Source organism: Homo sapiens, chromosome 2 (genome assembly GCF_000001405.40).
Source record: "Homo sapiens chromosome 2, GRCh38.p14 Primary Assembly".
NCBI classification, from domain to species: domain Eukaryota; kingdom Metazoa; phylum Chordata; class Mammalia; order Primates; family Hominidae; genus Homo; species Homo sapiens.
In genome coordinates, this window is record NC_000002.12 from 207893273 (window position 1) to 207919678 (window position 26406).

At 42.0% G+C, this 26406-nt stretch overlaps 1 protein-coding gene across 8 annotated transcripts in view, besides 1 other annotated feature; it reads right to left on the reverse strand.

The window, feature by feature from the left end:
• The window catches only part of PLEKHM3 (pleckstrin homology domain containing M3), a 204240-nt gene that overhangs the window by 71985 nt on the left and 105849 nt on the right, over window positions 1-26406 (reverse strand). For 7 of the 8 annotated variants that reach the window (XM_017004073.2, XM_005246545.4, NM_001080475.3 and 4 more), the window contains one exon: window positions 15242-15305. In XM_017004073.2, the coding sequence (XP_016859562.1) occupies window positions 15242-15305 (64 nt within the window). Of the gene's footprint in view, window positions 1-6766; window positions 8036-15241; window positions 15306-26406 lie in introns of those variants that run through there. The other variant, XM_011511163.3, reaches the window with a different exon arrangement.
• Window positions 14912-16111: an enhancer, noted in NCBI's record as "MED14-independent group 3 enhancer chr2:208772908-208774107 (GRCh37/hg19 assembly coordinates)". NCBI's record gives its function as "activates an origin of replication core promoter dependent on BRD2, BRD4, P300/CBP and CDK7 cofactors, and independent of MED14, by STARR-seq in HCT116 cells {active_cell/tissue: HCT116}" and the evidence as "EXISTENCE:reporter gene assay evidence [ECO:0000049][PMID:35650434]".

Genomic DNA, 26406 nt, shown 5'->3' on the forward strand with positions numbered 1-26406 from the left:
GTGCCAGCAGGCCTCTGGGCCAAAGCCAAGGAACACCCTTCCTTCTTTGGGTTTTGGGGGAGCAGGGGAGGGCTGCTAATTCCTTTTGTGACCACTGACTAAAAGCTGAGTGGTCAACAATTTGTTAAATTATACACACACCTAAAATGTCAGCTGCATCAGAGATTTTTGCTATCTTTTGCGTGGCTGAAGGGAACCTTTAGGCTGATGGCAATTTTAGAAGTTGGGTTTTTTAACCATAAACTAGGGGATGGATGCTAGCAGAACTCCAGACATGCGGGATCCTGGGTAGCAAAGACTCATCTTTGACAAGTGTATATGTCAATAATTCAAACCAATGGAAGGGGATAGGAATTAAAATTAGTCACAGTTATAAATACACACACATATATATGCATGACAGAGAGAGAGAGAAAGAGAGAAGCTCTCTCTCAAAAGTCCTTTTTGGAATCAGGCCAGCTATAAATACAAAACCACACACTGACACAGGTCAGTCATAGCTACAGATACAGAGTGTGCTAACCTGAAAATTTTGAAAAACAAAACAAAAACAAAAAGCAAGGCCAGGTGCAGTGGCTCACACCTGTAATCCCAGCACTTTGGGAGGCCGAGGTGGGAGGATCACTTGAGCTCAGGAGTTCGAGACCAGCCTGCGAAACACAGCGAGACCTTGTCTCTACTAAAAATAAAAAAAATTAGCTGGGTGTGGTGGCGCACACCTGTAGTTTCAGCTACATGAGAGACTGAGGTGGGAGCACTGCTTGAGCCTGGGAAGTCGAGGCTGCAGTGAGCTGGGATCATGCACTACATTCCAGCCTGGGTGACAGAGAGAGTCCTGGTCTTAAAAATAAATAATCAAAAAAGCAAAAAGGAAATTCACAGCATCATAAATCCATATCTAATTAGGCTGCATTCCCTTTTGGACTGCAATATATTCTGTGGATTATCCAGTTCCTTTGTTCTAGCATCTTGCTGTTTTTGATGACTACAGGTCATTGGTGTAGACAGAATAAAATATTTTGACCACCGTGGCACCAGTTGAAACTGACCTGTAAATAATTTTAGGGGTTACAGCCTATCTGGGGGAAACTGGGCAGGAAGCTGGGCCTGACCAATATAGTCCCAATATCTACAGAGTCTTTCCAAGCACTGGGTTTTTTTGCCATGCATGGTGCTGGCACTCCAGGGCTAATGATGGGTGCATTTGCCCTTTTCTTTCCCCACCTTTGCCCTATTATTCCTGCCTTCCAACCAGTGGAAAGACATGGTAGAGTTTCAGAAATGGTGGTGGTTGGGGTGGGGGGGTGGGGTTTGTTTTGCTGCCAGGTGGATTTGATAGCAATTTGCCTCTAGAAATAGAGAATGTGAGTGCTGGGAGAAAACAGTCCAATTTAGTGGTTCAGAGTGTGTGCCCATTTCTCTAAAGAAGGGAGTCCTTCCACTGCAGAAGCAATCATGCAGCTGGCAGTATTCATTCTTCTTTCTTTTAATACGTTTGAAACATTTCACACAAAATTGAAAAAACATAACAAAACAGGATGTGTACTAGAACAGGACAGCTTGGGTTTGAATCCCAGCTCCTCCACTTTAGCTGGACGACTTTGTGCCAGTAAATCTCATTGGTGAAATGTGGATAATAATAGTACCTATTATTATAGGTCATTATATAGGGCTATTGTGTGGATTAAATGAGATAATCCACGTAGATTTAGGACAGGGTCTGGCCTAAAGTAAGCACTCAATAATAAAAGTGAGTAACATTTTTTGAGCATATACTAAAAGGGAGCTATTATTAATCTAATTATTTAGTACAACCTTCTCATTTTACAAAGAAAGATTTTAAGCAGCAGAGGTATTTTGTGACTTGCTAAAGGATAAACTGTTGCTGTCATCCTGGGTCGTGAGTTTTCTGGCCATCCCTCCCTCTCTCCTCTTGGCTAAGTGCTGTAAAATGAGAGTGAACCAGGCAGGCCCCTTGCCTTCAGTGAGACTGCACCATACCAAGTCAGGGATGGAGCAAACAGGCTGAGGATCCTGGCCCTGTCAGCATATCTGCCTGTCTGCCAGATGATCAGTCCCTGTCCCCAGCAGGCAGGAGGCAGAGAAAAGAGAAAAAGGTGAAACTCAAATCCGTAGTTTTATTACCCAAACTCAAATCCGTAGTTTTATTACCCGTGATTGCCTAGCCTACTTTCTCTCTGTGCCCTTGACCTGTGCTCTAGCCAAGAATCCTTTCACAGTCTCCTTCCCCTGATTTCCTTTGTTGTTCAGCTCTAAAGCTTCCCTTATGGTGCCCCATTCCCTTAATGTCCCTTATAGCCCAAGTTCTTAAATAGTTCCACCTCTTGGAAACCTCAGCTGCAATGGGCTCTCTGTTGTTAGCCCAAACACAAATGCCAACTCACAGTTCACCAGATAACCTGACTGGTGCTGCCCGTTTTAGGAGGAAACCCGCTAGGTGGCATATTACCTTCTGCATGTTCTTACTGGCCAACTTTTGTTTACTGGGCATTATTTTAACTGCCACTGAATTGTAAGGTATTAAGACAACAATTTGTCTTTAAGGAAAATATAAAATCAGTATATTTAACTTGTTTTAATAAGCTGTCCTTCAGATCATATTTGTCAAAATGCTTAAAGCTGTTATTTCCTGACAAAAAGTTGAAATAGTTGACCTTTGGCAAATGGAAATCCAGCCATTTGTCAGTTAGAACTGAAGGTGCTGAGCCTACACTCAGCGACCTGGCTCTCATTCCAGGTTCCTTGCTGCACCCAGAAGCCTGGATACTTCGTGCAAACTGGCTGGGAGCCCCCAGAAAGCAGATACACGCAGAAAGACTTCCACAATTTCATCACTTCTCGAGCTCTATAAAATCACAGAATGAGGGCCCTAGAGCTGGAAGGGGCTGTAAAGATTGTTTAATCCAATCCTCTCACTTCACGAATGAAGAAACTGGGATTCGAGAAGTAAAGTAATACAGTTTCCATCCAAATACATGCCTGTGGTCCTCTTCCTGGGAACTGATATAGTTGCAAGGCCATAGCCAGAATAAAAAGTGACCTAAATGGGCTGTACTGTATGAAATTGTCATCTAAAGATGCCATACATCTTTAACAGAGGTTAACAGGATGGAAAATAATCCCTACCCGGGTTAAGTTAAAAATCCATTTTTTAAAAAGAAAGAAACTCAGCTTTTACAAAGTGATGAGAAATGATAGGGATTGGAATATTTTCAGAGGTAAGCTGTGCCTCCACTTCTGACTAAGACTTAATGGAACAAATGCATTCAGGGAGATGCATGGAATTTAAACACAATTCAACATCAGTTAATTCTAAGAGTAAAGGCCCTTCGGTCCAGTTCCCTTCCACCTCAATGTTAAAGGAAGCTAGAAAGCCAATTACATTCACAGCAGGGCCTCTCCCCTACTGCAAGGGAAGAATGTACTGCAAATTCTATGTGTGCTTTACAAGCTAGTAAAACTATAATTGCAGGTGGGAAGGAACATGGCGTCTCTTTGTTTCTGCCAACATTTCAGTCTGGTAAGCTTCTCTCCGCAGCTGTAGAAAGAGTGTGGACTCCATGGTTTTCTTTAAGCACAAAAATGTGTACTCCAGGATTCTACAAAATTTACAGAAAGACTGCTTTTTGTTAAAATTGAAAAGACGTCTGTGCATAGCCCACCAAAAGGTCATGCATTCTTGCAAGAAACAAGTGGCAAGATTCAGAGGGTAGGTAGTACCACTCACTCAAGCGCAGGCCTAGGGAGAGTTCCTTGGCTCAAGAGGGTGGGGGCTCTCCAGGTGCAATTCCCCTATGGAGCCACTGGGGAGGTCTGGTCTAGGATCATCCTGGAGGCAAAAGGAAATGAAGCTATTCTGCATTCCCTACCAAGGTGCTGCTCCATATGGTGACTATATAGCTGCAGCTATAGCAGGTTTCTATGGCCTAGATTCCCCTACGGAACATGAGGGGGAAAACTGAGACATAGCAAGCATTGCTTTTGTGGCAATGGTTGTGGTTTAGTGTCCACAGATGCAGTGTCTTGATGACGCTGAAGAAAACTCCCAGGAGCCGTTTATACAAGGTCCACACCTCACAGCAACACTAATAGCAATACTCTACCCCTAGTAAAGTGCCTATCTCCTAAGCCCTTAAGTGTCAGGCAAAGTTCTAAGTGCTTTATGCATACTAACTCTAAGGCCTCACAACAACCTTCGGGGGCAGGTACTATTATTCTCACTTCAGAGATGAAGTGCTTAAGGCACAAAGAGAAGTGACTTGCCCAAGGTCACCTAATATTTCTGGGGTGAGTCGGCATTTGAACATAGACAGGCAGCCTCCAAAGCTGCAGTGTGTGACCGCTGCAGCGGCCAGCACCTCTGCAATGCCCAATGTTGGATATCATCATCCCTTAGGAGACCTTTGCTCCAGGCAGAAACTCCATCCCATGTTCACCTCACACTGGCGTGCTGGCCTCCTAAAAGCTCCTGACAGCCATCTTAATTTTGATTTCTATTTAATTTTCTACCTCACAAAGCAATGTCAGGGTGAGGGAGTCTGGTGATACCTTTAGAATATGATTTATCAACCAACAGCTTAAGGGAATGTAGGGCTTCCTTGCTGCCACCTGACCTTTGTCTTCAGCCTTCCTAATGTTTGCATTGCTGCCCTGACCTTGCAAAGTGACCTGGAATAGCTTGGCTGTTTCCTTGTGTGTGTCCACTTTCAGAGTCCAGCTGTCAGCCTGTGCAAGTCTGCCAATTAGTATCTCAAGGGTTTGGGATGGGGTCTGCCGCCTTTTGAGGAGCACAATCTAACACTAACCTCCAAATTCCTTCTCGTAATTCAGCATTCATTAGTTTGACGGAACAAAAGCAGGCATTCTCTATTATAAAGCAGAGGTCAAAACTGGTGGCTGTGTTTTGTTTGGCCTGCAGAGTGTTTAAATATTGAGAAATTTCACATAAAAATACAGATTTCCGGCTTCTCTTGGAAAACGGGAAGAGCAGACAACTCTGGGGCTACTGAGTAACAGCTGCCCCTTTCAGATATGGAAGCTCTCTCTGGTTCATCTGCACAACCTGTCTCCCCTTGGGCCTGCTTCAGGGACAGATGCCATTTGCCTGGTCTCTGCAGGAATACCAATCAACATAGCTCTATTCTAGAGCCAGAATTCCCTCCTTTAAAACGTGAAATGGACCAGGCGTGCTGGCTCACGCCTGTAATCCCAGCACTTTGGAAGGCTGAGGCGGGCAAATCACTTGACCCCAGGAGTTCGAGATCAGCCCGGGCGACATGGCGAAAACACATCTCTACCAAAAAACCCCACAAAAATTAGCTGGGCATGGTGGTGCAAGCCTGTAGTCCCAGCTACACAGGGGGCTGAGGTGGGAGGATTGCTTGAGTCCAGGAATTCAAGGCCAGCCTGAGCAACATAGGGAGACTCCTACCTCTATAAAACATTTTAAAAATCAGCCGTAGCGTGGTGGCGCGTGCCTATGGTTTCAGCTACCTGGGAGGCTGAGATGGGAGGATTGCTCGGGCTCAGGAGGTCAAAGCTGCAGCCAGCCATGATCATGCCCCTGCACTCCAGCCTGGCCAGCAGAGTAAGAACCTGTCTCAAAAAAATAAATAAATAAAATAAAATAAAATAAAATTCCAGGAGCAAATGTGTTGATGGTTCACTAGGCTTTAGCCGGAAGTTCAAATAAAAGCCAAACAACAATATGAAAAGCTGCCTCCATCAGCCTTCTAATGTTTCCTCACAAAGATGGGTGTAATATTGTTGAAAAGCTGCAAGTTCCAAATATGGAGGGAATCGCAGGCCACTATCACATGGAGACAATGATGTCCGCTAAGACACATGTGGCAATGCTGTCTTCTGAGGTTGCCATGCATCCTGGTTACATTTCTGAATTGGGTGAAGTGCTGGAAACCTCCTCAGCCCTCAAACATCTGAATAGATAGTGCCTTCTGGTTATCCTTCTAGTCCCTTGAAGACCAACTGTGGGTGTGGTGGGATGGCTAGTCCAAGGCATCAAGGGATGAAATTCTACTGGACATCACCAAGTGGAACAGAATCATGAGCAGCTTTGACTACAAGTTCCTGGCACACAGACAGAGTGCAAGAGTTTGACCATAATCAGTAAGAATCTAGTCCGTTTCTGAGAAAATGTGCCCTTTCAATTTCAGGGGTAACATGGCTCCTGATACATAGTACATGCTTAATAAATATTTGCTGAATGAATAAATGAATAGGGAGAAAACACCCAGCGAGGGGCTTGGTGACAGAGTTGGGCTCACATTTCAGGTGCACAGGTGGGATGGAAAGATTTAAAACTCAATTCCTCGTTCTTGCACCTCAAGGCACATCCCAGAATCTTTCATTTCTGAGGGAAGTGAAGCGATACCGTTTTACTCATTCTACGAATGTTTTGTTGAGACAATTTATCAGAATAATCCTGAAGCATGCAGACAGTGTTAAGAAATGTCACAGTTGGTAGTGAAAATTTTCTTTAGCTTGCCCCCATGGAAGAAACACTGTAGATCAGATCATTAGAGTGGTTTAAGGTTACCATGGCCTCAAAGTTCTCTTCCTAGTCCTCTCTCTCTGGCTCATGATTATGGGCCAAAATTTTAACTTACAGTCATAGCCTCTAGGAAGCCTTCCCTGATGGCCAAGTTACTGGGTGTTCTGGTTACTATTACTGCAAAACAAATTACCCCAAAACTTAGTGGTGAAAAAAAACCAACGAACAAAAACCTAGTGGTGCAAAACAACCATTTTATTATGGGCTCACACATTTTGTCGGTCGGTCAGGACTCCAGGAAGGACACTGTGGAGATGGTTTGTTTCTGCTCCATAATATCTGCAGCCTCATCTCTAGCCTAGGTGAGAAGACTTGAAGGCTAGCAGCTGGAATCATGTGGGGCTGTCTTCACTCATCTCTCTGGTGGCTGATGATCGCTGCCAGCTAGAACAACTACCATATGAGGCCTGTTCATGTGGTTGTTCTATGAGGGCTAATCTGGACTTCCTTACAACATGGCCACTGGGTTGCCATGAGTGAGCATCTCCAGACAGCACCAGGTTGGAGCTATATCACCTTTTATGACTTGGCTTTGGAAATCACATGGCATCACTTCCATAGTCACAGACCTGCCCAAATTCGGGGAGAAGGAACACAGATCTCACTACTGAATAGGAGGAGCATCAAAGTCACAGTGTAAGAAAGACATGTGGGATGGAAGATACTGTTGCAGCTATTTTTGCAAAATACAATCTGCCACACACTTGGTCAGATGTATTCCCCAAGTACCCTAGGTTCAACTCCGCTGACTTCAACAATGCCTATCTGCCTCTCTCATCAGACTGTGAGCTCAGTGAGGGAAGGAATTGTGGCTTAATCACCTTTGCCTCCTCTGTGGCTAGCTCAATGATTGGCACACAGAAAGCATTCAATCAATACACACTTGTTGAATCAAACTGAATAGAAATGAAGAACCAGAAAGACTCCTGGGGCCCTTTCATGATGGCTGTTGGTGGCATAGGTTTCTACCACTGGCAAGACCGATGCTAACCTTACTCTATATCTTTAAGTAAATGTTCTTTGAAAACAGGCCCTCACTTCGTCAGTATTATGATTACTCTTTTAAAATAGGAAACAACAAAAACCCAACAACAACAACAGCACTCAGATGACTGCATGCCAAGGGACTCCCAGGAAAGTGATTTCAGCACTGACTAAACACCATCCAACTCCACAGCTGCAGCCTCAACCGGTATTGTTGTCTCTACCTGAGGGGCTCGAGTTGGCTCCTGGAATCCTTATCTCAACTGAGCTCCTTCTCACCTGGGCAACAGGGCTCTCTATCCACCACTCACAACACACAGTCATCTTTCTGATCTGGCTTCCACAAAAGGCAGTGACTTTGTCCTTAGTGCCGCACATTTGCTGCCACATCCCGTGCCGAGCTCCCCCGATCCTTCAATCATCTGTGGATCAGGTTAGATTTGGCTGTAGTGCCTGGGTCTGCAGAACAGAAAAGTCAGCTTGCATAAAGAACAATCTGCACCAGCACCTTGCTAATCACCTGCTTTAACCCACTCAGCTAACTGGCCCCATCACCAAAACACCAGAAAACTAGTAGTTATGCTCAGCAGGTAGTAAGGACATCAAGACTGAAAGTGAGAAGTCAGAAGACCCAGCTCCAGTCCTGGCACCTAGCAGCAGTTGTCACTCTTCCCGTTCCCCTCCCTGTACGATGTGAAACACACTGGGAGACCGAGCATGAGGCATGAACTGTTCGGCACCCACTCAAGATACACCTGCTCTCTTGAGAAACAGCACTTTTCCATTTGCTCTGCTGCCTGTCTATCAAAACTTCAAAGGATAACACTCAATCCCTTCCTCCTCCCCAGCAAGATCTTAGCCTGTGCATTCATTTTTTGAAAACCCACTTGCTTAAAAGGCATAATTTGTTCCCCAAATAACTTATAGTCCTCTTTCCTAGCTCATTAATTGGTTGGAAGAGCCGTGGCTAAAATAGTTAACAGAGATTTAGTGATGTTTTAATGGAGGCCTCGTTCCTGTCTCGCCCCAGATTATGTTCAGTGGTTTCTGAAGGCAGTGCCGGCTGCAGCGGACACAGGCACTTGCCATGGAACAACACAGGCGAGCTGTCACGCTTTGTTTTTCTGCTTGTTAAATCCGAATGCTCCTAATTAGTTATCCTCACCACTAATGCCTGGGTGGACAATGGTGTAGGGATCAGGGCTGCTGAGAAGCTATGAATACAAGTTCCTTGGGCTCCTGAGGCTTGGGACTGGTGACTCGGTTGTGGGCACTGAGGCGCTGTGTTCCTGTGAGCTGTGGATTCAAAGATGTCAACCCCTGTGTGAATAAAGGTCATCACCTGTTACTTCTTTGGTGAAAGGGCAGCTGTGCTGGGTGCCCACTTAGGCTCGGCCTTTGTCTGCTGACTCTGTGAGAGCGTCCATAGAGAAAAACGTTCTCTGATAATGGGTTTGTTTGGTGGGGCAGGGCCGTGCAAAATAACTCACATCACTTCCTTGAAGAAGAATTCAGTAAAGTATGTTGTTTAAAAGTGGCCTTGAAATACCTTAAACATTGCCTTTTCGTGATCTTACCAGTTAGAAAACAGTTGAGGTAAGACCACTGTTTGAATTACTTCTTTAGGGGCCAATTCCAACAAATGCTGAGGTCACACGGATGACAATTCCTAAGCTCTGTGGGTATGCTGGACTAGCAAAAAAGTTAACTGAAGAGTTAACTGTTCAGGATATGGAGTGTTCGGGAAGTTTACAACACTAAACAACTCCCCATTATTCTGACATAAGCAGAGATTTTTATTTGGTTTTAGAATTCTGTGCATTGTTATTTCATCGCCAGCTTTTCTAATTTTGTTTTGTTTAGCGGCTAATGTTAATCAGTTTGCTTTGCTTTTCAAGGGAGAGAGAACCAGTGAGTTCACGATAGTATATGTATGAACATATGTACATATACACCCTGTCACCCATCCACCCACCCACCCATCCACCCACCCACCCATCCACCCACCCATCCATCCATCCACTGAACATTTCTATGTTGCATAAGTTACATTAGTTGCTTAGTGTAAGTGTGTATTGCTTTAGTATAAAACAAACGGTTTAGGCAGTGCTAGGCAATTCCAGAAAGGTAGTGTACATCTGGTCACTCCTCTCTCTTTTCATGGCTCTTGAGTGCTGTGGGTCCTCCCACCTGGCATCCTTCCCACTTCACAACTCTTTAGTAAGTACTCCAAATTCCAGACTTTCCTGTCCTTTTTCTTTCATTAAAACTTATCTGTGGAAATGTCTCCCCGCCCCCAATACCATGCCATGTTTTCAAATGAATTTCTGCCAAAATAATAATTTATTTTTCTTGGGTAATATATTTCCTATAAACTAGAATCTAAACTGCCCTCACCTAAAGGTAGGGTCTCATTTGGAAATTTAGGGCCCAGGGAAGGAAAATAATGAGAAAATTAGCTCCTTAGATTGTCTCACAAGAGGGGTGTGTGTGTGCGGGGGTGAGGTGGTGGGCAGTGGAGGGAGTAGCGGGGAGGGCCTACTCTAACCAGCCACCTCACCCATGGGATCATCCAGTATCCTTTCTCATGAATCGCCACAAATAGAATCATTCAATGCTTAACTTACATATGCCCCCAAAGGTGAGTAATACCAGAAGAGTTAGTCATTAATATACATTTTAGGTTTTGTCACAAGAGCACAGGTAGCCAAAATTTAAAAGTAAAATCTGACCTTTTCTTTCAGCAAGTAGAAGGAACTTTAGAAGAATTCTCCTATCATTTACACAGTCCAAAGACTGACATATTAAACCAGAGTTCTGATTTGCTCCTTAAGAACAACTAAGAACTCTTGACCATTTATTTATATGTACTAATGTATTCTACTGGTAAAATCTGGAACCTTTTCATTAGTGTTAAAAGTGCCAAGGGGATGTGAGTAAGGAGATGGTTTGTCACATACTTAACAGGGAAAGCAGATAGCTGACGCCAAAAGTTAAGGCATTGAGAGTTACGGTACAAGTCTTGCCATCTCAGGTGAGCATATATTTTTATTGCATTCCTGTCTTAAAGCCTTCTCATGGATTTGTGATAATGCTGGATAGACTGAAAATAACAAAACACAAATTCTATTCTATTTATCCTTCTCAAAGTAGCTAACCAAGGAAAAGCTCTTAAAAAGCAGTGCCTCAGTTTCCCCATTCAAAACGTGCACCAATACTAGTCCATGCATCCACACACGCTGAGTTGTTGCCTGCTACTTCCTTTATAAGGAAGTACTTGGTCACTTCAAAAGCCACCATGCATTCATACCTCCTCAAAGAAAGTTTGTAAGATTTTATTTTTTTAAAAATGAGCAGTACCTTCTGTTAAAGTTATATTCAAAGAGTTTGGATTGAATATGTTTTTCTAACAATATCTAGTTTGCAGAACAGAAATTCACCTGGAATTCTAAACACAAGAAATGAGTAAAGGAAGGCCATGCTCCCTGGAGCTCCTAGGATCTGGAGAGCCTCTGCCTGTGTCTTATGCTTCTTCCTTGGCCCTGCTACTAGGCCAGGTTTACTTGGCTCCATTTTACACGTTATGGCTAAACGCTACCAACTGACTGTATGTAGTCAGATAATGACTATATTCAACTACTACTTTTTCAATGTGCAAGTCATACCAGTGAGCAATTCAATCACTGGTCAAACAAACAGACAATTAGGGACTCAGTCTGAGTATTAATTTTGCCAATAACTGGTACTCAGTGAACAGTGAGCAGGAGACAGTCGTTCCCAGAACAACTGGAGGGAATCTCCTTTGTAAAGCAATTGTCAATCCTTGCTATTTCTTTCCTCACATCTAAATGTAAGGGAAAATGCATGCAAAGAGGACAGTAATTCAAATAATGAGAAGGGGGAAAACTGTCTTGAATGTAACAAAAGCAGCGGTAAGGTAGCTTGAAATCTTCAGCCAAATTGTTAAATTGAGTCTATCTGCTAAAATTTTAGGCATTGTTACTTATAAACATAAAACCAGACAGAGGACAATAAGATTGCAATTTTTTTGGTACCAGAATTCTTTCAGCATTTTTAAGTATTATTAGTGCTTTGTGTACTATATTATTTTAAAATTGTCTCTAAATTATAAATCTCCTTTCACCATGTTTATTAAATTCTTACCTATTTTTTTTCTTTTTGAAGAGGAAAATGTCTGTTTTGCTTTTTAAATAAGAGCTAATGGGAAAAATCAAATTAACTTAAGAGAAATGTGTAGACAGGAACCTGTGCATTTAAGAAGAATATCTGCATTATTGTTTTTTCTGATTTATAACTCTTGAGTCACTTGCTTTAGTTTATTTTCCTTTCCCCTGCAAAATCTGAACATTAAAAGCCCCTTTTCTCTAGTTACTCGATATGACAGACAGGTCTGCTTTTACAGAAACCTTTAGCAGTGAGGAGAAAAATCAAACAGGGAAAATAATTTACTCTAAAACGCCTGAAACTGACAAGAAGCAGGATGATGAAGCAGTCCAGAAGAGGCCAAAAAGGCCCAGGACGCCATAAGGCTGGTGGTTGGGTCAGTTAGGTAGGGTTTCCCGATACCACCACATGCCCTTTCACAAAGCAATGCTATTTTTTGTTCTTTCTCCTTGTGTCCTTTCCATTACATATTTGCAAGAACAATTCAGATCTAGAAAACATGCTTGTTATTTACTTAGAAACCAAGGAAAGATGAAGCTGGGGATGCCCTTCAGTGCTGATAGCCAAGATGCAGACAGATCAAAAGCTAAATCCAATTTAACCCACCTCAGGCAGAAAAAGTAATCGAATTAAACTTCCTTTAAATATGATAAGTTTGGGGCTCTTAAAGCCAGGCACAAAGAACCAGGTTAGAGTGAGCTGTTAAGTGAATGGATGCATTGAGCTCTAGCTGCCCCACCCACAGGGTGTTTGATAAGCTGTTGATTGCCTCCATCACTGAAAACTGATTAAGCTGCTTATGGGGCTCCAGGGGCTAATGGCCTGGCCACCAAGAATACCCCTGCCACTGATTTAAGTAAGCTGCTTGGCATGTATGGTTTGATTATTAAAGGAGGAAAAAAAGAAAAGGGGGTGGAGAGAAAGACAGCAGGGTATAGGAAAGCCTTAAAAAGCAGGCTGTATGATTCCAAATGGATACATTACTTTGACACCCTAAAATGAATATGGAATTACTCTGATTCTTTCTCTTCATCAGATATCAAAACTCACGTTTGAAAGGCTCCCTCAAAGAGTACTCACTTTGGAGCCCACCCATTGTACTTTAAACCATCTTTACAAGAATGTTCAGTGCCTTTAAACATACTTCTCAAATGATAGAGTCTGTGTCCTCAGGCACTACGATCAGGTAGACTTCAGAAAATAGATAAATGTATAACAAGTGTTTTAACCAATTCCTCCCCTTGAACAACAATTTTAAGTAAAAATATACCCCTTTCCACCCTAGCCAGCAGACCACTGCTGCTTGACTATGTAGTAAAGGTCAGGCAGGACCAAAGGAGTTGGGAGAGCTGATATGTGCAAATAGGTTTCAACTTGACACATAAATGGAAATGAAAACCTTAGTCTTTTCTTAGACTTCTCCAACTAAATGCTCTAACATCATGTCTGCCATTTAATTTAAAATAACTTTCTGGCAGGGAGCAGAGGCTCACACCTGTAATCCCAGCTCTTTGGGAGGCTGAGGCAGGCGGATCACTTGAGGTCAGAAGTTTGAAACCAGCCTGGCCAACACGGTGAAACCCCGTCTCTAGTAAAAATGCAAAAATTAGACAGGGCTGGTGGTACATGCTTGTCATCCCAGCTACACGGGAGGCTGAGGCATGAGAATTGCTTGAACTCAGGAGGCTGAGGTTGCAGTGAGCCAAGATCACACCCCTGTACTACTGCCTGGGCAACAGAGCGAGACTGTCAAATAAATAAATAAATAAATAAATAACTTTCCTAGCTCTGGGGGGACAAAAAGAACACAAAAGTCTTAAGTTATTAAACTAAAAGACACAAAAAATCCTTGAAAAGTAATTTAAAGTCAGAAAAATGACTGAAGGATATGAGCATGGTTTTTAAGTTGACCTAAATTCTTCTGGATAAAACAACCAGAGAGGAAAACAACAACGAAAGAACAGAATCACAGCAGTTTGAGATACTCTGAAAGTTGTCACAATTATTATTATTATTTAATGAACTCTTGAAAGAATCATTATCTAGTGTCCAACAGCTTCTCAGGAGTGAGTTGTTGATTTAAATGATTAACCAAAGCTTAACATATTTAGAATTTAGGGCTGAATACACAAAAGGCCAGTTTCTTCCTAGCTGCTAATCTGGTTAATCATTAAAAGTACAAGTGTGGCCAGGCGTGGTAGCTCACGTCTGTAATACCAGCACTTTAGGAGGCCAAGGTGGGCGGATCACTTGAGGTCAGGAGTTCGAGACCAGCCTGGCCAACATGGTGAAACCCCATCTCTACTAAAAATACAAAAATTAGCTGGGCATGGTGGCACATGCCTGTAATCCCAGCTACTCGGGAGGCTGAGGCAGGAGAATCGCTTGAACCCGGGAGGCAGAGGGTGCAGCGAGCCAAGACCATGCCACTGCACTCCAGCCTGGGCGACAGAGCAAGACTCTGTCTCACAAACGAAAGGAAAAAAAAAAGTACATGTTCTAATAAAAGTATAAAAGGATGATTTCAACTCTTACATGCTCTGTTATGTTTTACTAAACTTTAAAAGCCATTCAACTTTCTGGCTTGAGCACAAGTCAAGGGCTTAACACATTCAATGCCTTTTACATCTTTTCATACAAATTTTTAATTGGGAAAATTCACACACCATAAAATTTACTCTTTTAAAGTAAACAATTTAGTGGTTTTCAGAATATTCACAAGACTGTATAACCATCACTGCTGTTTAATTCCAGAACACTTTCATTAAGCCTCCAAAGAAACTCTTTATCCATGAGCAGGCACTCCTCATTTCTTCGCTCTCCCCAGGCCCTGGCAATCACTAACGTACTTTCTGTCACGATGGATTTGCCTATTCTAAACATTTCATGTAAATAGAAGCATACAGTATGTATTCTTTTCTGTTTGGCTTCTTTTACTTAGCATAGTGTTTTCAAGATTTATCCATATTGTAGCATGCATCAGTACTTCACTTCTTTCTATGGCAGAATAATATTTTATTATATGGCTACAACACATTTTGTTCATCCATTCATTAGCTGATGAACATTTGGGTTGTTTCCACTTTTTTGCTATTATGAATAATGCTGCTCTGAACATTTGTGTACAGGTTTTTCTATGGACATATGTTTTCAACTCTCTTGGGTATATACCTAGGAGTAAAATTGTTGGGTCATATGGTAACTCTATGTTTAACTTTTTAACTGTTCCAAAGTGGCTAACGTACTTTGCATCCCATCAGCAATGTATAAGAGCCCCAGTTTCTCTGCATCCTTGCCAACATTTGTTATTGTCCCATATATCTTTTTATACTAAGTTTTCCCCCCATTCTGAAAAAGAATTATCAGGGTTTCTGATGAAAACTACCCCAATGATGGCAGAATACGGTGCAAAGACCAAAGTCAACAAAGAGACTTCTCCAGGAAAGCAACAAAAATGAAACAGCCCCTCTGAGCACTTACCTGCTGCAGGTCGGCAAGTGAATACAGGTGGATCTGTTGAAGGAGGTATTCTCTGGGGAAAATTCTGAAAACAAGGGCAGATAGACAAGTGAACTGTGGTGCTGCCATAACACACATTTTTCTGATAAGTTTCAGTCTCATTCAAGAATTCCTTTCCTCTGCCCTGTCCACTTTCCACCTATACTTCTCCTAAGCCCTCTGAGGAACCTGTAATATCTTTTTCTCAGATATTTTTCTTCCCAACACAGACACCAGAATGGAGGTAAAAGTTTGATCTTTGACTTCTAATGTAATCTTAAGTGCTATAAGCACTGCGTGGTGGCCCAGGTCTGAGGACCAGAACATCAGTTTTCTTGTACCAGCTGTGTCCGTAATAAGCTGTGTGATCTCTGGCAAGTCCCCACATGCCCACCTGGCTTCAGCTTCTTCACAGCAGAATGAGGGTGGTTTAATGTGATGTCTCCAAATATCTTTCTAGCTGTATTTTTCTATATCTAAATATATTGATCTTGGATTTCAGAAAAACTGGAGTGGCCACTCGTGTCTAGAGGCTTCTACGGCTTTCATTAATGAGGAGGAGTGATACTGAATATCATATTAATGAACTATCCTCTCATATGTACAGTGATGGCAATTTTAGAACCTCTGTACAAATGAGAATAATGGGACAAGATATTTTAAATTAGGACTCTTCAACAAAGTCCAGTATCTTTAGCTGCTGTCCGTTCACAGCATCTGGATAGATGACAATGAATGAACAGACAAAAATAATCCGTTATGGGTAAGCAAACAGGTTACCAAAGTGTAGATGACTGGAAAACAACACACACACAAACTAAACCCAAAACAAAATCCATGATACTAACATTTTTCTCTTTGTCTTATTTGGTACTATGCAATTTTCTTGTGTCTTAAATGAAAGAAACCACCAATTTATCCAATTCACATTTATGACTATTCATTATATGCCAAGCACTATGCCAGGCACTAGGAAGACAGCCCAAGTATGAGGCCAAGGAGCATAAAGTCAAGTGAGGGAAAGACACATAAGCTGATAAATACAATACAATGTGGTAATTGAAAATGATAAAGAGTTATGCATGGGGTCCATATTTTTTGAGTAGTCTAACATGGTGGATTCCAACCCTGGCTGTCTATTAGAATCACTTGGAGAGCTTTTAGAAAACCACAGGGTATATGCCTGGGTAGAGCCCATAAATCAGTATTAAAGAAAACAAAACAAAAACTCTCTTGGTGATTAGCACAGCCAAGGTTTAGAACCACTGGCCTAATAATCTTGCTCACTGGGAAAATCATTATTCAGTCTTTCAATTAAGTATGCATTAGTTGCCAAATCCTAGATATTAAATCATTCATCCTTCCATCCATCCAATATTGATTAAGCACACATTGCATATCAGACACTATTAGACTACTGAAAATGGAGCACTGAATCAATTAAATGAAGTCCTGACCAGATGGAGGACTGGAGTAGGTGTATTCTAGTAAGGACCTCTCCCGGAAAGTAGGAAAGTCGCTGAAGAATTCTGCTGGAAAGCACTGTTTCACCCACAGGAATGAGATGAGTGACAAGGGCATTATATTCTGGGAAACTGAATGCAGTTCCTACAGCTGGGCTCCCTTCAACTCTAATGGTTCAGGGCTGCACTTGCGACAGGAAGCAGAGCACAGGTCCAGCACAGCTGGGCAGGGCATAGGAAAAGTACTCAATTCCTCCATGTAGGATTAGCTTCTCTACAGGAAGGCCCCTGTCGTGGAAGGTAGACCATGGTCCCTGGAGGGACCATGAGATGTAATCAACCTCCATTTTCAATAACACAAGCACATGACACAAATGATCAAGGGACCTCTTCCTCAAGGCAGCCTACAGGAGGTCACTGAGCTTGGCACTGGAGATACATCATTTTATCTAATCCTCACAATAGCCCTGGATGGTAAACACAAACTTCATTTTACATAAGAGGAAACTGAGGCACAGAGGCAAAGACCAATTTGCCCAAGGTCACAGAGCTGAGTTTCAAGGCCAGGACTTTCTGACTCCAAAGGCCTATGCTCCTTCTAATTTCTTGGGGCTGGGGGTAGGGAAAGGAGGGAGGTAGGTTTGAGCTGATCATCTAATTTAGTAATATCATGCATGTCTCTTCTGGATGGATGTTTATTACTGTAGTTTAGGCCGGTAGCAGTATAGAGCCACTGATGCTTTTTGAAGCAGGAACGCCACACTGATGTGCCTCTGAAGGCAGCAGGGAGGGTGGAGAGACTACAGACAGGTGACAAGGCATGTGAGAGTCTGTTCTAGGGCAGACAAGCGGACAGTGAAAGGAATGAGTGGGTAGATACCAGAGACTTTTTGGAAGAATTGAGAACATTGGGAATAAGTGAAAAAGGAGAAGGGACTCTAAGATGACCCTGAAGTATAGAGCCTGGGGATGAGAATGGTGATGCCATTGGCCAACTGAGGGCAGGCTTCCAGGGGAGGGAATAAAAAATTGAGCTTCCTATGTGCTGAATATCCAGTGCCTGTGTGGGGAACAGCAAGCATGGACCTGGGCCTGAGATGTAGAAGACCCAGGGCACTTCTGATGGGAGCACAGAGCAGACAGCTGAAGCCATGGGAATGGAGGGAATGGAGTGAGGAAAAACCTGAATGGGAAGGGGGCTGAACCCAGATGAGGGTTGTTTGTTTTTACTTTGTTTACCTACAATCTAGAACTATCTAAAAGTGTACTTTGGTAGTCTGCAATTTTCTCATTATATTTTGAAAACTATGTTTTTGAAAATAACCAGAATGTTCACATGTACTTCCACAGTTCCTAACATTTCTCTGTATTTGTAAAATGTCCTTACCTTCATACCCTTTATCCAGCTTCCCCTAATGCTTACATCTTACATAACCATGGCATATTGATCAAAAATAAGAAATCGACATTATGCAAATTATAGACTTTATTCAGGTTTCACCAGTGGTTTCACTAATGTCCTTTTGCTGTTCCAAGATCCAAGGGCCCAAACTTATCTGCAGGAAAGGAAAACTAGGGCAGTCTTTCAGTGGGACTTAAAGGGAGCAGTGTATGATAATATGAGAGACAGAGGATGTTTAGGGGTGACTAAACTGAAGGAATAATCTTACTGAAAGGTAAATGCTTAATAATGAAATCCCTTAAATAAAGTAAAATGAAAGCAATGTGGCAGCAGTGCTAAGAAATGGAGTCCAGTAAGCGGGCTGCAAAATCATTTCAAGACTAGCTCCTGCCTCTTCTGCTGGTTTGTAGAAACATAGGTCAGCTGGAGAAAGAGTTAAAAGGAAGATGAAATGATTTACGGCAGGGACAAATGCAGGAGAGCATATCTGTAATGTTTTGCTACTTAAAAGTCCTTTCTGCTTTAAAATTCTAAAACTTTTATGATTAGGGATATACAGGATATCAGACTTATTTACAAATTTACAAACCAAATCACACTGGCATACTCTTCCTGGAGTACTATAACCAGTCAGTTATCACATAGTCAACAAGCACTTACTGAGTGTCTAAAATAAGGCATCGTGCTACGTGCTGGAGATAGATACTTCAATGAATACAACTGATGAGCAACAAAGAGAATTTCCAATTTCTCCTTACTAGGCAGGGTCCTTCTTGCTTCCAAACACTATTCATTATTCTTCTCACAAAAATTAACCAACTTTGGTCACAATCATCTCTAATATTCCTTCAACATTATTTGTACAGCACAGCTAAAGTGGCTATGTATTTATTTAATGTTTCTATGTGTATATATATTTCACATATGTTTATTTTCTCTCTCCTTTTATATGAGATTCTAAGCCCCTCCAGAAGCACTTCCTCTACTGTCTTCTCCATCACACTTCAGTGTCTAATACTATAATTTACATGAGGTCAGTCATAACAGACACAAAGAACTGGAAAATGCAATATATGCGGGAAAGATGAAGGAACCCAGCTTATTGTGTCTGGAGAACTGGAGAAGATGTTGTGTCCAAGAGATTTAGTGGTGGCCATTACAAATAAAGACTTTTAAGAGAGATAATGCCAATCACCTTTTTTTCTCCCTGGAGGATGGGAGTTGTAGTATGAAAGCACTGAAGTCAAATATGGGAATAAATTTCCTGAGAGGGAAGACTGGTAGGTATTAAAATGTATCTCTTATAGTAATGCTTTTTAATGTAAATAAAATAAGAAAAAGATTTTTTTGCAGCTATTTAGAAATAGGGACTCACTCTTCTGCTTAGAGGTAAGGGTTTCCAAGGCAGGGCCAGATAACTTACGCACACTGCCATTTATTCCTCTTTCCCCTAAGGCAGACTGAATTTGCAAGACATTCTCTAAATATTTTCTTTAGGAAGACCAAACACAGGGAAACTCAGGGTAAATATGGACCTAAAAGCCAAGCTCAGGAAAGTGTGGGCCCCGGCAGCTTCCCATCTGGGTGATTCCAAGGGCTTTCCTCTGCTGTGGCTGAGGTCCTACAAGTGGGCCTGACAGGAGTCCTTTAGGAAATGAATGGGAAAAGTAAAGATTCCCAGGAGCCAGTTTGCCTTAAACTCTGATTAGTACAAAGGGGTCTGAAAAACAGGACTAAGGAAGAGGAGTTGTCTTGGTGGGGGAAAGGGTAGCTCAGATGTTGGGGCAGACGGTTGGAACTGTCTTTGGAATGCTCAAGTGGAGTCACCTGTGAGTCCAAGTGGGCGATTTGTGGGCCCCCAGCTTACAGGTTTTAGATGAAGCCATGAGAAAAAGTGATAGTCCAGGGGGGCACATGCTGGGAAATGAGAAAAGATTGCTTCCTGGTGAAACAGTACTATTAATATTTAGGAGTAGATAAACAGAAAGAGGACTGGGAAGGAGTAGGTTGACAGGGAGGAGAAAAAGCAGAAGAGCCAGCACCAGGGAAGCCAAGGAAGGAGAGAATTTCATGAAGGAAGAAGGTGGTCAATGGCATCAAAGGTAGTGGAGAGGTCAAATAACGTAAGGAAGACTCTCATGAGGCCTGGAAAGTGCCTGCTGGCAAACAGGAATCCATCAGTGACCTCAGACTGGGTGGTTTCAGGGGAGGAGGAGGAAAGACTGGAGAGGGGTGAGGATTGTGGGTTACTCTTTTACGAAGTCAACTTTAAAGAAAAGGAGGGAAATTGGGCCACAGCTAAAGAAGGATGTAGGACTAAGAAAGGATTTTTTTTTTTCTAAAAACATAAGAGAAACTTGGGCATACTTAAATGCTAACATTAAGAAGCTACTATAGAAACAAAAGCTGAAGACACAAAAGTAGAGATAACTGATGAAGCCTGGCCTTCAAAAGGCCTAAAGGAAATGGGATGTGGACCCAGCTGGAAGCTCTTTCAAATACACACATTTGCACATGTGTATGTGCGTGCATGAAAACACACACACACACACTCCCCTGACCGCGCGTGTGCGTGCGCACACGCGCACACACACACCCCACACACAGTATTTTCCTAATTGAAACAGTTCAAGTTTTTACTAAAGTGTTATATAAAAAAGATTAATAATTACTCAACAGGGCGCAGTGGCTCACACCTGTAATCCCAGCACTTTGGGAGGGTGAGGTGGGAGGATCACTTGAGCTCAGGAGTTTGGGACCAGACTGGGCAACATAGCAAGACCCTATCTCTAAAAAAAATACAAAAATTAGCTGGGGGGCCGGGTGCCGTGGCTCACGCCTGTAATCCCAGCACTTCGGGAGGCCAAGTCGGGCTGATCACCAGAGGGTAGGAGTTTGAGACCAGCCTGACCAACATGAAGAAACCCCATCTCTACTAAAAATATAAAAAAATTAGCTGGGCATGGTGGCGCATGCCCGTGATCCCAGCTACTCAGGAGGCTGAGGCAGGAGAATTGATTGAACCCAGGAGCTGGAGGTTGCAGTGAGCCAACATCGCGCCATTGCACTCCAGCCTGGGCAATAAGAATGAAACTCCGTCTCAAAAAAAAAAACAAAAAACAAAATATAAAATAAATTAGCTGGGGGTGGTGGTGAATGCCTGTGGTCCCAATTACTCAAGAGGCTGCAGCAGGAGGATCAATTGAGCCCAGGAGGTTGAGGCTGCAGTGAGCCATGATCATGCCACTGTAGTCCAGCCTGGGTGATAAAGCAAGACCCTGTGTCAAAAAAAAAAAAAAAAAAGTAATTACTAATTTATTAAATTTAACCCCTAAACTTCATTATATTAAGAACCAAAAGCCACAAACTAACTGAAGGTTATCTGGCTTAGCAGTCCTTTGGTAAACAGGATCCTTGTTGCAGAAGAGGCTGCTGTGTTTAGGGCCTTCTGTGCATTAACTGACGTCACTGTATTGCAGGGGCTATTAATCATCATGTCTGGCAGCATTTCTGCAGTGGGCAGCCCTGCTTATGCCAATGCAAGCCCTGACACCAGAGCCAAAGAATAAATGAGATAAGAAGAGTCAACTCCACACTTCACTCGCCCATCAAAGGAAACGATATCACTAGCAGGTAGCACTACCGAGTTTCCTGGTAGCAAAGAACATTGAAGAAACGTGCTAGAAGATCATGAAAACCAACTAGCACAATCGCTTCTAGTGCTAACATTTTCTATTTTATCATCTTTAGAATTGCCTGACACACTGGGAAGGTAACTTAGGCTTCATTTATAGATTGCTCTAATGAGAAAGGTGAGAAAAGATGAAAATTAAAAAGGAAAAAGGTCATATATGATTCAGAGCCCTTATATTATGTAGCTGGTACTTGGGGTTAAAAATGCAGAGATAATTGCCTATGAAATCAAAGGCAGTAGTCTTAACAAAAAGGTAGAAGGGCCTCATTCCATTTTGTTCCATGACATTAGGTCAAATAAATCAAGACTTATTTAACTTGACTAATTCCTGAGAAGTTCAACTCAGCTCCCACCAAGCCCCAGTGCTCACGAGAAAAAAGGGATTGGGGTCAGGCTCTAAAGTAGGCAGACCCTTTGCAAGGTTCTGATAGATTTGATAATATTACCATTTTCCTGAAGCTCAGTTCTTAGAGATGCACAACCGGCATTTAAAGACTCAATGATTAAAATGAGGGAAAAACTTGCAATGGAAATATCTCATCTTAGGCTTTAAAGAAAAGACCCACAACATACACACATGTAAAATTAAAATGATAGCACAACACCAAAAGCAAACTCCACAATTTGATTCTAAATGATAAGGGTCTAAATAAAGAATACGGATAAAGATGCATAAGGAATAATTTTGAAAGGAAAACCATTTATTCACGTAGTTTTACTGTCTTCCAAGAATATGTGCTCCAGGGTAGGTAATTTATATTAAGTTGAGATGGCCAGTGTCTTTCCTTTGGAGAGCACATATACCCACACTGAAATCAGCAAAAAGCACTATGAAGCATCCCCAGGGAGATGCAATTTGATGTTCTTGATATGAGCTGCAAACTCTTCCTGAAATAGTTACATTAGGCTGGACGTGGACAGGATTCGTATGTCCAGCCATACTCTGAGCTAATGGAAAAACAATTTTAAATCAAAGGCACATATTTCGATAGCAGCCCATGTGGAAGAAACAAGCTTCAATCACTTCTCTAGGTACCTCATTTTGCAAATCTCATTGGCTGAAAAAATGGCAAGATTGCATCAGATATTATATCTTGGCAGGTAGTTACAGGAAATAAGGGTCCTTTTACCTGCTTATTCAGAAATTGTACTTAAGTTTCTTAGCCACAATCTAAAGCCTCAAGTAGAAATATCTGGGATGTAATTTTAATTGTGAGTATTGTGGCATCTGATTATAAAAATGATAGATTATATCATAGCTGTTATATACCTAGCTCAAATTCTTAAGGTGTTTAACAGTCGCAAGAATATAACACTTCCCCCGCAATGAGTTTTATTTTTGTTTTCTCTTAGAAAATGATTTTAGAGGCCGGGCACGGTGGCTCACATCTGTAATCCCAGCACTTTGGGAGGCCGAGGTAGATAGATCACCTGAGGTCAGGAGTTCGAGACCACTCTGGCCAACATGGTTGAAACTCCATCTCTTCTAAAAATACAAAAGAAAAAAATTAGCTGGGTATGGTGGCTCACACCTGTAATCCCAGCTGCTAGGAATGCTGAAACAGGAAAATCACTTGAACCCAGGAGGCGGAGGTTGCAGTGAGCCAAGACTGCACCACTGCACTCCAGCCCAGGTGACAGAGTGAGACTTCATCTCAAAAAAAGAAAAAAAAAGAAAATGATTTTAGAGAATTTATATATTTCATTTCATCTCAGAATAAGAGAAAACATCCTGGCTTTTTGAAAGATCTCTGAGTAAATAAAGAGCTATGTATGTATGTAGTTTAGTAAAATTAATATATAACTTCCCAGAATTCCTTTTGAAACTTTTCAAATCTGTTTAGTCATGAATGACACTGCAGACAGTCTGTAGCACCCTTTTACAGTGCTGATATTGGTATATACATAATTTGCTGAATTAGATCTCTGGAGAAAAAGAAGGGAGAGGGAAGAGCTATTAGGATATCAGGAAGATAGATGACTCAAAAACCACACTTTTAGAAGTCATCTAATGGAAAAGAATTCTTGAAGTAGAATGAGGAGAATGGTTGCTATCAAAACTACCAAAATGACATCCTTTATTTCTGAGTCCTGATAGATTCTGCAGCTAATCTGTTAAGGCTAAAGCCCCAGCTGCAGCTGATGAAATTTTTAATTAGCTAACTGGAAAAGTAGCCACAAAATTCGGGTAACCTTAAATATTACAGAGAACATAAAGAGTTGTTTTCACTTAGTGAGCTTAAAGAAGTGTTATCCACAAGTTTGAAGAGCTAATACTTACTGGTCTTTAATGAGACTAATTTAGTGCTAATATTTTTGCTAAAATAGACTTATTCTTCTAAAATTCAGTATTAACCAGACCTTGCACACTTCAGTCTCAGATTTTGGTTGTAAGATATTCCTCATATGCAGTTCAGAGACATTGCAACTCCAGTCTGTGTAGATTGTGCTTTAAGAGTTAGGCTGCCCTGGCCAGGCAGGGTGGCTCACGCTTGTAATCCCAGCACTTTGGGAGGCTGAGGTAGAGGATCCCTTAAACCCAGGAGTTTGAGAGGAGCCCTAGCAACATAGTGAGACTCTGTCTCTACAAAAACAAAAAATAAAAAAATTAAGTGGGCATGATGGCATGCAGCTGTAGTCCCAGCTACTCAGGAGGCTGAAGTAGGATTGTTTGAGCTTGGGAGGTCGAGGCTGCAGTGAGCTGTGGTCATGTCATGGCACTGAGCAACAGTGATACCTTGTCTCAAAAAGAAAAAAAAATTCTGCCCTAAGAGACATGTTCTTAATAAACTGCCCTCCTAGAGCAAGTGTATTTGATTTACAATAGCATGCAATCTTTTCTCTCTGTATTAGATAATCCTTCTACCTAATATACTTGATTTTTTAGGGGGTGAGGGGAGAAGAGGGAGTGTTGATATGAAGTGATTCTACCAGCTCATTTAGTATTAGATTGCTCATGCAATCTTTTGAGTACACTGAATAATAATCCCCATTTACTTCTTCCAAGATCAATAACATGTAGGTATGCCCACACATTAAAACACCATTTTCACTCATTTCATTATGTTTAGACAAATATTTACCAGCATAAAAAAGATGTTCACAATATACTAAGTGAAATGGTTAAGGATAATATAAAACCACTTTCAGTGCCGGGCGTGGTGGCTCACACCTGTAATCCCAGCACTTTGGGAGGCTGAGGTGGGTGGATCACGAGGTCAGGAGATCAAGACCTTCCTGGCTAACACGGTGAAACCCCGTCTCTACTAAAAATACAAAAAATTAGCTGGACGTGGTGGTGGGCGCCTGTAGTCCCAGTTACTCAGGAGGCTGAGGCAGGAGAATGGCATGAACCTGGGAGGCGGAGCTTGCAGTGAGCCGAGATTGCGCCACTGTGCTGCAGCCTGGGTGGCAAAGCAAGACTCTGTCTCAACAAACAAACAAACAAACAAAAAACAAACAAACAAACAAACAAACAAAAAACCACTCTCATGGGGAAAGATCATCTGCAGAGGAAAAGGTCTGGGAGGATATGCATCAAAGTGGTAGGATATGGGTGGCTTTCTTATTTTTGTTTTCTATGATGAACAGTATTCTTTTGTAATAAGAGAAAAAATAAGTTTGGCCAAATTGGGCAGAATCTTCATTCATTTAATTAATTTATTCAACAAGTATTTATTAGCCCCCACTATATGTATAGCTCTAAGCAGTGAATATAACAGATAAAAAGTCATGACATTTTGTAGCTTACATCTAGCAGAAAGGGCAGCGCCAGTGCATGTGGCTGCATAGGTTGAACAAAGCAAAACGTCTACATTCACACCTGATGGCCTAAGAGATGGAAACAGACAAAATAAAATACCATGTTTAATGGTAATAAGTAAGCAGAGAAAGAAGACAGGAGGCGTGTGTGGTGGGCAGTGGGGTACAAACAGACACTGTGTTGCCATTTAAAACACAGTGGTAAAGGATGCTTCATTAAGTGATGGCTGCTCAAAGACCTAATGGAGTTACGAAGCAAGCTTGGTTTCACACTGAGAAACAAAACGATAAAAAAAAGAAAAAAAGAGAAAAAAGGAAGCAATCTCAGCAGTTACAGAGGGAAAGGAAAAGCAAGTATAGAAACTAAGGTAGCAGCCAGCTTGGTATGACCAAGGACCAACAAAAAGGCCAGTGTGACTGGAACAGAGTGAATGAGGGGGAAAGTAGTGGGCGATGAGGCAGAGAGGTAATGGGAGATGAGACCACGTATGCCCTGGGCTTTTACTTGGAGCGAGAGGTGAAACTATCCGTTTGGGCCAGGAGTGACATCATCTAATTTATACATTAGCTATAGTCTTAAGAACAGACTGAAGGGGGATAAGGGTGGTGCAGGAGACCAGTTACTGGAATAATCCAGGCGAAAGGTGATGGTGGACCCAACCTCCAGCAGTGAAAGTGGTGAAAAGTGGATAGATTTTGAAGCTGAAGCTGACAGGTTTGCCGACTGGATGTAGAATATGAGAGAAAGGTGTTTGGCTTGCATCACTGTATGGACAGAGATGCCATGAAGCAAGATGGGAAATACTGTAGGAGGAGTGGTTTGCAA